The sequence below is a fragment of the Homo sapiens genome, chromosome 9 (genome assembly GCF_000001405.40).
Source record: "Homo sapiens chromosome 9, GRCh38.p14 Primary Assembly".
In the NCBI taxonomy this organism is placed as follows: Eukaryota; Metazoa; Chordata; class Mammalia; order Primates; family Hominidae; genus Homo; species Homo sapiens.
This window is the reverse complement of record NC_000009.12, coordinates 76511125-76523274: the sequence shown is the minus strand read 5'-3', so window position 1 is coordinate 76523274 and position 12150 is coordinate 76511125. Positions and strand designations below refer to the sequence as shown.

At 41.8% G+C, this 12150-nt stretch overlaps 1 long non-coding RNA gene across 1 annotated transcript, besides 1 other annotated feature; it reads right to left on the bottom strand.

Annotated features, from left to right (window-relative positions):
• Positions 1 to 6066: 6066 nt before the first annotated feature.
• LOC124902184 (uncharacterized) lies at positions 6067 to 7747 on the bottom strand. The gene is made up of 2 exons (XR_007061585.1): positions 7606 to 7747; positions 6067 to 6761 (listed from the first exon to the last, which is right to left on the bottom strand). It is a non-coding gene; the product is annotated as an uncharacterized LOC124902184 (long non-coding RNA).
• Positions 11625 to 12125: an enhancer, noted in NCBI's record as "H3K4me1 hESC enhancer chr9:79126066-79126566 (GRCh37/hg19 assembly coordinates)". NCBI's record gives its function as "activates a minimal SCP1, AML or CMV promoter by ChIP-STARR-seq in naive H9 embryonic stem cells {active_cell/tissue: H9 hESC(naive)}" and the evidence as "EXISTENCE:reporter gene assay evidence [ECO:0000049][PMID:30033119]".

Genomic DNA, 12150 nt, shown 5'->3' with positions numbered 1-12150 from the left:
TGCAATAAATCTTGCTATTGCTCACTCTTTGGGTCCACACTGCCTTTATGAGCTGTAACACCGCGAAGGTCTGCAGCTTCGCTCCTGAAGCCAGCGAGACCACGAGCCTAGCGGGAGGAACAAACAACCCCAGACGGGCCGCCTTAAGAGCTGTAACACTCACCAGGAAGGTCCGCAGCTTCACTCCTGAGCCAGCGAGACCACGAACCCACCAGAAGGAAGAAACTGAACACATCGAACATCAGAAGGAACAAACTCCGGACACGCTGCCTTTAAGAACTGTAACACTCACTGCGAGGGTCCGCGGCTTCATTCTTGAAGTCAGTGAGACCAAGAACCCACCAATTCCGGACACATTACCATTTTAAAGTATAGCTTTACAGATCTGTTTTTATACATTCACATATGTGTAAATATTTCAAAACTAGGATCACACTGTATATATTCTTTTGCAGTGTGTTCTTGTTTAACTCATTGTATTGTGGACTTTTCATGTCAATAAACATTTGTCTATTCCAGTGGTTCTCAAACTTGAGGATGCATCAGAATCACTTAAAAAGCTCGATAAAGGCCCAGCGCAGTGGCTCATGCCTGTAATCCCAGCACTTTGGGAGGCTGAGGTGGGTAGATTGCTTGAGGCCAGGAGTTAGAGACCCGCCTGGCCAACATAGCACAACTCCATCTTTACTAAAAATACAAAAATTAGCTGGGTGTGGTGGTGTGCACCTGTAATCCCAGCTACTCGGGAGGCTGAGGCTTGAGAATCCTTTGAACCCTGGAGGTGGAGGCTGCAGTAAGCTCAGATCACACCACTGCAGTCCAGCTTGGAACACAGAGTGAGACTCTGTTTCAAGAGAAGAAAGAAAAAAAAAAGCACTTGATAAAGCACAGGTTGCTGGTTTCCACCTACCAAGTCTCTACTTTAGTAGTTCTAAGTTAGGGTCTGAAAATTGCATTTCAGATAAGGTGATTCTTTTCTTCTTTTTTGTTGTTGTTTCTTGAGACAAGGTCTTGTTCTGTCACCCAGGCTGGAGTGCAGTGGTGTGATCATGACTCACTGCAGACTTGACCTCCTGGGCTCAAGTGACCCTCTTGCTTCAGCCTTCTGAGTAGCTGGGACTGCAGGTGTGTGCCACCACGCCTGGCTAATTTTGTTTATTTTTTGTAGAGACAAGGTCTCATTATGTTGCTTAGGCTTGTCTCGAACTCTTGGACTAAAGCCATCTTTCCCCCTTGGCCTACCAAAGTGCTAGGATTACAGGTATGAGTGAGCCATCACCACCAGCCAAACAAGGTAATGTTGTTGCTACTGGTCGGGGGGCACACTTGGAGAAGCTTGGGTCATCTGTTAATAGATCATTAGGTAATATAATTTGTGGGTTGTCTGTTGGTTTTTTGGAGACAGTAAATGGAGACTTTGTAACAAGGGCTTGATACGCAGTGATAGGGTAATAATAAAATTGCAATTTATCATTTCTTTCATGGTAACAATTTGAGGACTGAATAAAAGGTTTTGGGACTAAAATTAGATATTCAATAAGTAATAAGTAAATAGGCCCCAGGCATAGCACTGAAAGCGCTGCCTAGTGTTCGTAAGTGCAGGAAGGCTGTGACCTGCCTTACAGAGAGAAAATGTGTGCTAGATAAGCTTTGTTCAGGCACGACTTACAGTTCAATGTGAATGAGTCAACAATCTTGTACACCTAAAAAGGAAGGGGACATTTCCCAGTCGGGTGTGACACTGCTCCAGAAAGCGCTAAAGTAACATCTATAGTGCATCTTAGATCTACGAATAAGATGGAAGAGTGGCTAAATGGGTGTATTCATGAGATGATGACAGATTAAAAAAAAAAAAAACATAGTGGACAGCATTTCTGTGAGGCTGAAAGCCAAGAAATTTATGGAAAAGTGTTAAACCCTTTGTGGCTAGTGCTGACTGGCCCACACGTTTCAAAAGGCGATGAGGCATGGAAAAATGTTAAACCTGTGGGAGGGGTAGGTTCTGCAGATCAGAATGCTGTGGAACAGTTTTTTAAATATTTGCTAAGTGTTCTATGGGAAAAGGGTTACTGGAAGAGACGATTTTCAACCCTGGTGAGACTGGCTTGTTTTACAAGGAAGTTGGAAAATGAACCTATAGAACGCAAATGGCATATCAATTGACAAAAATGTAGTGACCAGAGGTTCTCAGGAGCCTCATCTTATATTTCCCCTTGCAGCAATAGTCCAATATTCACTAATTTAGTGTTTGCTATGAGTTTATAGAACATAACTACCATGAATAATAAGAAGTGATCATACCTGGCTGGCTGTGTGGTGGCTCATGCCTGTAATCTCAGCACTTGGGAGGCTGAGGTTGGAGGACTGCATGAGCCCAGGAGTTCGAGACCAGTCTGGACAACATAGTGAGAACCTGTCTCAATTAAATATATGTGTACATGTATATATCTTTTTTAAAAAAGAATTAATCATACCTGGTTCACCCTCATAGATTTTAAAACATAAGGTAGAGCCCAGACATCTGTTTTTACCAACCCTTTTATTTGATTTTGAAGCAGTCTAGTATTTGAAAATTATTTGTAATACACTGTATCTAGTTTCCTTATATTTCCAAAAGCCTGTCATATAGTCCATAGGTATCATTGTCCTTTTTTTTTTTTTTTTGAGACGGAGTCTCACTCTGTCACCCAGGCTGGAGTGCAGTGGCATGATCTCGGCTCACTGCAACCTCCGCCTCCCAGGCTCAAGCAATTCTCCTGCCTCAGCCTCCTGAGTAGCTGGGATTACAGGCACGCACCACCACAACAGGCTAATTTTTGTATTTTTAGTAGAGATGGGGTTTCACCATGTTGGTCAGGCTGGTGTCGAACTCCTGACCTCATGATCTGCCTGCCTCAGCCTCCCAAAGTGCTGGGATTACAGGTGTGAGCCACCATGCCCAGCCAACATTATTGCTTTTTTTTCCTGAGTTATCTGATGGGGGACTCCTTGGCCTGCCTCACACAAGGATTCTTTTTAACCCCCTGTGATTGAGTAGAAAGGAAGTAGGCTGGGTGACATTTTTTCTTTTTAACACTGGTTGATTCCTAAGAGAAATCACATCTGCTTTTTGAGACATCCTACATTCACCCATCCATCTTTTCACTCATCAGATTTAAGTCCCATACGAGCAGCAATCATGAATATTTGGTTCACCAAGGTAAACCTGTACCTAGTCAGTAACTTTCACATAGTAAACACTCTGCCCAATATAAGACAGGCACTGCGATGGAAACGAAATTATTCCTATAAATCAGGGGTTCTCAAGCAGGGACGATTTTACCTTCCAAGAGACATCTCACAATGTCTGGAGGCATCTTTATCACAAGATGATGCCTTGGGGTTGGGTTGGGGTTGCCACTGGCATCTAACAGGTAGAGACCAGGGCTGCTGCCAAACATTCATAATGCACAGGACAGCCTCCACCCCCACAACAAAGAATTATCTAGCCCAAAATGTCAATAGTGCCCAGGTAGAGGGAAACATTCTTAAATGGCTATAAAAATTAGAGTAGGCAATTTCTCATCGTCTGACATTGCACTCCAGGGCAGATTCAACTGTTAAGTGACACAGCAGTACTGAATCATGTCTGTCCCCACAGCCCACCTACCACGCAAAGTTATGAGGAAAGATTCCTGGGGAAGGCTTTCCTCTCTCTTGTCCCACTGGTTTATTGTTGCCCTCCTAAGTCAAAAATGCATACTATTTTTTTTCAAGCTTTTGCACTCATACTCTTCCCTGTTTTCACTCTCCATCCCTATTTCCTTGTTTGCACTTCATGCGAAGTGGAGTCCAGCTTCCTAGGAAACAGGTGTACCCTGACCTCCCTCATGCAGTTTCTAGAAATGGCTTGGGAAAGAATGCAGCTGGAGACCCACAAAAGTGCACTGTCTCCGGCTCCTCGTTCTTTCTTCTCTTCTCCTGGTGAACAGAAGGAACTTCGACCTGCCTGAGCCCGCAGCTCTGTAACCACACATGAGGGATCAGTCCACCCACCCTGTTATTTCAGTTGCATGCTTAGGCAGTGAGGAAAGGACATTAGATTCCTAAAGATCAAATTTCCTGAACAGAAATATTTGTGGGCAGGAAAAAAACCTGACAGGACACTTTAATTCAGGTGCGGTGTTTAGTTTTCAGTAAGGTTTTATTTCACAGGGAGAATAAAGACAAGCTGAATTCAGCCAAATTATAAAAGGTTATCAGTAAGTCCGTATTTTCCCCCTCGATTGTTTATGGTTTCTATTTGAGGAAAAAATATCTAAAATTATTTTTTTCCCTTAAGAGTGGTTAATCAAAATTAAGCAAATTAATTGACTTTATCGATTTATTAGGTTGGTGCAAAAGTAATTGTGGGTTTTGCCATTAAAAGTAGCAGCAATGGCTGGGCGCGGTGGCTCACGCCTGTAATCCCAGCACATTGAGAGGCTGAGGTGGGCAGATCACCTGAGGTAAGGAGTTCAAGACCAGCCTGGCCAACACGGTGAAACCCCATCTATACTAAAGACACAAAAATTACCCAGGCGTTGTGGCGCATGCCTGAGGCAGGAGAACCACTTGAACCCAGGAGACAGGGGTTGCAGTGAGCTGAGATGGCGCCACTGCACTCCAGCCTGGGTGACAGAGCAAGACTCCATCTCAATAAATAAATAAAAGTGGGGAGGTAATTGGGGATATTTCTATTATCCCCCAATATTAATTGGGGACAGGAAAGGTAGAGGGTATATGGGAATATGGAAATTCTCTGTACTTTTCACTTAATTTTGCTGTGAACTTAAAACTGCTCTAAAAAATAAAGTTGATTTAAAAAAAAATCACACATATGTGCACAAGTAAGTTCAATGGCCTATTTTAGATGATGGTGATTAATTCTGTCTAGGATACTGTGGAAGCCAGAGAAAAGAGTGGACATTTATGTAAGGCCGTGGGGGACACAGATGGTCAGAAAAGATCTCATAGGCTAGGCGCAGTGGCTCACACCTATAATCCCAGCACTTTGGGAGGCCGAGGCGGGTGGATCACTTGAGGTCAGGAGTTCGAGACCAGCCTGCCCAACATGGTGAAACCCTGTCTCTGCTGAAAATACAAAAATTATACAGGCGTGATGGTGGGCGCCTGTAATCCCAGCTACTCAGGAGGCTGAGGCAGGAGAATCTCTTGAACTCTGGAGGCAGAAGTTCCAGTGAGCCAAGATTGCACCACTGCACTCCAGCCTAGGTGATGGAGCGAGACTGTCTCAAAAACAAAAACAAAAACAAAAAAACCTCATGGAGGTGGTGATATCTGAGCTGAATGTTGAAAGGTGAGGGTGTTCTAGTCTGAAAGCCTGAAGAAATATGTTCTAACAGACTGCAGTGTGAATGAAGACCTTTTCCGATGGAAATGCTTAAAAAAAAAATCACTCTCCCTTAAACAATCAAATGTATTGGATGATATAAATGAACAGGCTTGGGCTCAGCTTGCTCCAGGGCTTGCAGGACAGCCTCATGAGATAGTTTGTATCTCCCCATTTCTCCTCAGTGTTGGTTAATTCTCCTGCTTCCTGTAAGAGAGTGCAACAATCCCAGCACCTTCTTACTCTCAGTTCACATTAAGTGGGGACAATGCAAACAGGCTGAAAGTGAGGGAAGAGACTGTTTCCCCAGGCTACTGTTTTATTAGATGGATGATGAGTAGATACCAGGAGTAAAAACTCCAAATGAGCACGATTCATGAAGACGTGAAACAGCATCATGTGTGGTCCAGGAATGGGTAGAGCAACCTATACAATAAAGAAGACTGGAGAGGTGGGACTGAGGCCAGATCATGGAGTGTTCTGTGTACCATTTGAAGAAATCAAGATTTTTATGTTTTAGGCAACAGGGAATCTTTGAAAAAGTTTATGCAAGAGTGTGCAATTATCAAATTTTCATTTCTGATAGAACTCTGACAGTGGGAAGGTACTGTGTGACTTGGTCAAATAACTTGTCCTCTCTAAGCTGCTTCAGTGTTTACATTTGTATAATGTGGACAAAAATAGTGCCAATACCATAGGATTATGGCGAACTTTAATGAGACAGTATTTGTAAAATGCTTAGGACAGTGCTTGGCATTTAATGAGAGCTAAATATTTGCTGCTACTCATATTGTAACTATTGTTATTATTGTTGCTGTTGCTAACGAAGTGGAAGAGTTTGAGATAGGAGGCATGGAGGTGACAGGCAAAACCAGCTACACCCACACAGTTTACGATCTTCATCAGCAGAAATTTCTTATTCCAGAAGCTCTCACCCTGGAGGTAAAATTTGCAAATAACTTCCTTTTTTTACTCCAGGAACATCTTCAGAGTTACATCAATAAAAAGCAGTTTATACTCTAAGATTGTTTGAACCCTTTGCCTCAAAATCCTTACTTTGCTGTGTCTTCTCATCTTAAACTATTTCATCATGATTATTTGCCAAGACCCCACATTGTCAGACTCACCTTAGTCAGAATCCAAAATCTCCTAAACAGTGTGATTGGGTTGTCCTCTCAGCGAAATGTTACCAAGACTCTGAAGACGGAGCTCTCTGTTACTGCAGTGAGCAATAGACTCTGCTTTGTCTGAGGACCAGATCGTTTTGGTGATATTTTCAGGAAGCTGGTATTCAAGAGCAGGCAGCTCAGAAACTGGCAATGGTCCAGGTGAGAGATGGTGAGAGATGAACAGGGCTTGATGACAAGACGGGAGCATGTGAACGGAGTCACTGTGAAGGAGAGAGGCCTTAGTAAGTGGGTGTGAGGAGACAGGAACATTCAAGGACACTGCTCGGTTTGGCAGCTTCAGTACCTGGATAGACTGTGGAAGGATTTTCCAAAGTAGAAGCTGCAAAGTTTGCTAGGTATAATTCAGGATGTGTGTTGATGTGTGATAACGGGAACCAGCTTTATTAAACTTATGCTGATTTCTAACCATCCACCAAGACCCCTTCAGAGGTAGGTGACCTGGCTGCAAATAGTTTGGGTTAGGCTTCTCAGGTTCCATAAGAGGATGTCCTCCAATGCTCTGCTCAGTTATAATTCTCTTCTTAATCAGAAATTTCGCCTGTTGGTGCCCAATACTCTAAGTGTGAGTGTATCACCTGTATGTGGCTAAGCCTATTTGTGGCTCCCCTGTTCTTTCCCTTTGCCTGTGTACAGGCACATTTCTGAATTGCTAATGCCCATAAAACATAAATTCCATTTTAAAGCACTGATGTATATTATACTGGATATTTAGGGGGAAGATAAAGATGGGATGACCAACTTATTCTGATTTTAGCATCCCAAACCCAGTATCCCAGAAACCTCCACAGTCCAGGGTAAATTGAGGTGATTGATCACCTAAGATAAAGGAGAAGGTTAAAACCACCCTTCAAATCTCCTTTCACTGGGAAGTTTATAGCAGTAAATACTGAACGAGCAACAAATATTGAGGCCAAGCATGGTGGCTCATGCCTGTAATCCCAGCACTTTGAGAGGCTGAGATGGGAGGATTGCTTGAGCCCAGGAGTTTGAGACAAACCTGGGCAACATAGTGAGACCTCCTCTGTACAAAAATTAAGAAATTACCTGGGCATGGTGGCATCTGCCTGTGGTCCCAGTTACTTGGGAGGCTGAGATGGAAGGATCACTTGAGCTCAGGAGGTTGAGGCTGCAGTGAGCCATGATCACATCACTGTGCTTCTGCCTGGGCAACAGAGCAAGACCCTGTCTTAAAAACAAACAAGCAAAAAATCAAAAAACTTACGTTAAGAAAAATGAAATATCTCAACTAAACAACCTAACTTTATACCTCAAGGAGGTAAGAGAATAATAGGCCAAGCCTCAAGTTAGCAAAGGAAGAAAATAACAAAAATTAGAGCAGGAAAAATAAAATAGAGAAAATAGAGACTATTATAGAAAAACAGTAGAAAGATCAATGAGACTAAGAGTTGGTTTTCTGAAAAGAGAAAGTCGACAAACCCTTGGCTAGACTAATTTAGGAAAAGAGAGAATTCAAGTAAAATTTTAAATTAAAGAAGAGACATTACAACTCATACCACGGAAATTCAAAAGATCATAAGAGACAACTATGAATAATTATATGCCAATAAATTAGATAACTTATAAGAAATGAACAAATTACTAGAAACATACCACCTACCAAAATTAAATTATGAAGAATAGAAAATCTCAGCAGACCAATAATGTATAAGGAGACTGAATCAGTAATCAAAAATCTCCCAAGAAAGAAAAGCCAAGGACCAGAGAGCTTCACAAATATTTAAAGAAGAATTAATATCTATTTGTCCCAAACTCTTTCAAAAAAAATTGAAAAGATAACACTTCTAAAACTCATTTTATGAGAATAGCATTGCTCAGATACTGAAGCCAGACAAGGACACTACAAAACAAGAAAACTATAGGTCAACATTGCTGATGAACATAAATGTAAAAATCCTCAACAAAATACTAGTAAACCAAATTCAACAACACGTTAAAAGGATCATACATCATGATCAAGAGGGATTTATCATGAGGATGTAAGGATGGTTCAGTGTACACACATCAATAAATGTGATATACCATATTAACAGAATGAAGGATGAAAATGATGATCTCAAGAGATGCAGAAAGAACATTTGAAAAAATTAAATATTGTTTTGTGATTTAAAAAACTCTCAATGAATTAGGTATAGAGGGAATGTACCTCAAAATAATAAAGGCCGTATATGACAAGCCCACAGCTAACATCACACTCAATGGTGCAAAGCTGAAAGTTTTTCTTCCAAGATTAGGAACAAGACAAGAATTTCCACTCTCACCACTTCTATTCAACATACTACCAGAAGACCCGGCCAGAGCAATTAGGCAAGAAAAAGAAATGAAATGCATCCAAATCAAAAGAAAGAAGTAAAATTGTTTCAATTTGCAGATGACATGATCCTGTATATAGAAAACCCTAATGACTCCACCAAAAAGCTGTCAGAACTAGTAAACAAATTTAGTAAAGTTGCAGGATACAAATATTATTAAAATGTCCATACTACCCAAAGCAATTCATAGATTCAATGCAATTCCTATCAAAATTCCAATGACATTTTCTATAGAAATAGAAAAAGCAACCTTAAAATTCATATGCAACCACAAAAGATTCTGAATAGCCAAATTAATCCTGAGGACAAACAAAGCTGCAGGCATCCCACTACCTGATTTCAAGGTTTATTATAAAGCTATAGTTAACAAAACAGCACAGTACTGGCATAAAAACAGATGCATAGACCGACGGAACACAATAGAGAACCCAAAAACAAATCCATGCATTTAAGGCCAACTCACTTTCAACCAAGGTATGAAGAACACACAATGGGGAAAGGTCAATATCTTCAATAAGTGGTACTGGGAAAACTGGGTATACAAATGCAGAAGATTAGATTGGGCCCTCATCTTACGCCATACACAAAAGTCAACTCAAAATGGGTAAAAGGGCCACGTGTGGTGGCTCACGCCTGTAATCCCAGCACTTTGGGAGGCCAAGGTGGGCAGATCACTTGAGTCAGGAGTTCAAGACCAGCCTTGCCAACATGGTGAAACTCTGTCTCTACTAAAAATACAAAAAGTAGTGAGGCGTGGTGGCAGGCGCCTATAATCTCAGCTACTTGAGAGGCTAAGGCAGGAGAATCACTTGAACCTGGGAGGGAGGTTGCAATGAACCAAGATGGCACCACTGCACTCCAGCCTGAGCAACAGAGCGAGACTCTATCTCAAAAAAAAAAAAAAAAAAAAAAAACAGGTGGAAGACTTAAACATCAAACATGAAACCCAATAAATCCTAGAAGAAAACATAGGGGAAAATTTTCTTGATAGTGGTCTTGGCAAAGATTTTATGATTATGGCCCCAAAGCCCAGGCAACAAAAGCAAAAATAAACATGGGGGACTCCATCAAACTAAAAACTTTCTGCACAGCAAGGGAAACAGTCAACAAAAGTAAAGTGTAATCTGCAGAATGGGAGAAAATATTTGCAAACCATATATCCAATAGAGGGCTAATATCCAAAATATATGAGGAACTCATACAACTCAATAGCAAAAACCCCCAAATAATCCAATAAAAAATGGACAAAGGACCTGAATAAACACTCTTCAAATAAGACATACAAATGGCTAAAAGATATATTTAAAAACTGCTTGTCAGGCACAGTGACTCATGCCTGTAATTCCAGGACTTTGGGAGGCCAAGGGGGATGGCTCACTTGAGCCTAGGAAGTGGAGACTGCAGTGAGCTATGATCATGCCACCACTGCACTCCAGCCTGAGTGACAGAGTGAGAACCGTTTTCTTAAAAAAAAAAAAAGAAAAAAAAGAAAAAAACCTCAATATCAGGAAAATGCAGCTTAAAACCACAATGAGAAATCACCTCACACTTGTTAGGATAGCTAGTATTAGTCAAATAATAACAAGCATTGGCAAGAATGTGGTAGGACTGGGAACACTGTTGGTGGGATTGTAAATTGGTACAGCCATTATGGAAAACAGTATAGAGCTTCCTCAAATAACTAAAAAATAGAACTACTGCATAATCCAGCGATCCCACTTCTAGGCATATAACCGAAGAAAATGAATCAGTATGTCAAAAGGATATCTGCTCTCCACTCCCATGTTCATTGATGCGTTACTCACAATAACCAAGATATGGAAACAACCTAAGTGTGTGTTGATGGCTAAATGGATAAAGAAAATGTGACACACAAACACACACATGCATGTACACAATGGAATATTATTTGGCCATGAAAAATAAGAAAATCCTGCTGTTTATGACAACATGGATGAACCTAAAAGACTTTCTGTCAAGTGAAATAAGCCAGACACAGACAAATATTGCACGACCCCACTTACATGTGGAATCTAAAGAAGTCAAACTCATAGAAACAAAGGTAGAAAGTTGGTTGCCAGCGGCTGGGCGTGGGGGGGGATGGGGAAAATGGGGGATTTGGGTCAATCGGTACAAACTTTCAGTTATAAGGGAATAAGTTTTGGGGATTTAATGTACAGCATGGTGACAATAATAATAATACTTCATTGTATATTCATATTTGCTAAGGAACCTCTGATAGCTTCTAAGCCCTGCTCTTCTCCTGCTTCTCCCCTTTCCCTGAGCCTGCCTTCCGCCTGCCCTCATCCACTTGGTGCTTACTGCTCTTCCTCCTTTCTCTCCTCTTTCTCTCCACACACCCTTTGGGTGGTTTCAGTAAGACTAGTGGATTAATTCTGTTTCTATCCCTTTTATTTCTCAAGGCATTATGGAATCTTGGCTCACTGCAACCTCTGCCTCCCGGGTTCAAGCGATTCTCCTGCCTCAGCCTCCTGAGTAGCTGGGACTACAGGCGCGCACGCCACCATGCCCAGCTGATTTTTGTAATTTTAGTAGAGATAGAGTTTTACCACATTGGCCAGGATGGTCTCGATCTCTTGACCTGGTGATCTGCCCGCCTTGGCCTCTAAAAGTGCTGGGATTACAGGCGTGAGCCACAGCGCCCAGCCAGCACATCTTGCTTTAAACAAGAAATGCAGGCAAGGCGTGGTGGCTCACGCCTGTAATCCCAGAATTTTGGGAGGCTGAAGCGGGTGGATGGCTTGAGCTCATGAGTTTGAGAGCAGCCTGGGCAGCATGGCGAAACCCCATTTCTATAAAAAAAAAAAAAATACAAAAATTAGCCAAGCATGGTGGCGCATGCCTGTGGTCTGAGCTACTCTAGAGACTGAGGTGGGAGGATTGCTGGAGCCCAGAAAGTCCAGGCTGCAGTGAGCCGTGATCGTGCCACTGCACTCCAGTCTGGGCAATGGAGTGACACCCTGTCTCAAAGAGATGTGCTGCACTCACAGCAGGCCAGGTTCTGGGGAAGAAGGTGGATGGTTAAAATGGTAAAATAGAGATGAATGGATCAGAGAAAAACATTTTTTCAAGCGTTTATTATGGATTCATGCCTTTCTTTGCTCTTTTGTAAATTGGGCCAATTTTTTATAAGTAGTGCCCATTCCCAAGGTTGTTATGGAGTGAAAGGAGGTAATACATGCAAAGTGCTTTGAACATGCAATAAGTAAATGCTCAACAAATGCCAGCTGTTGCCATG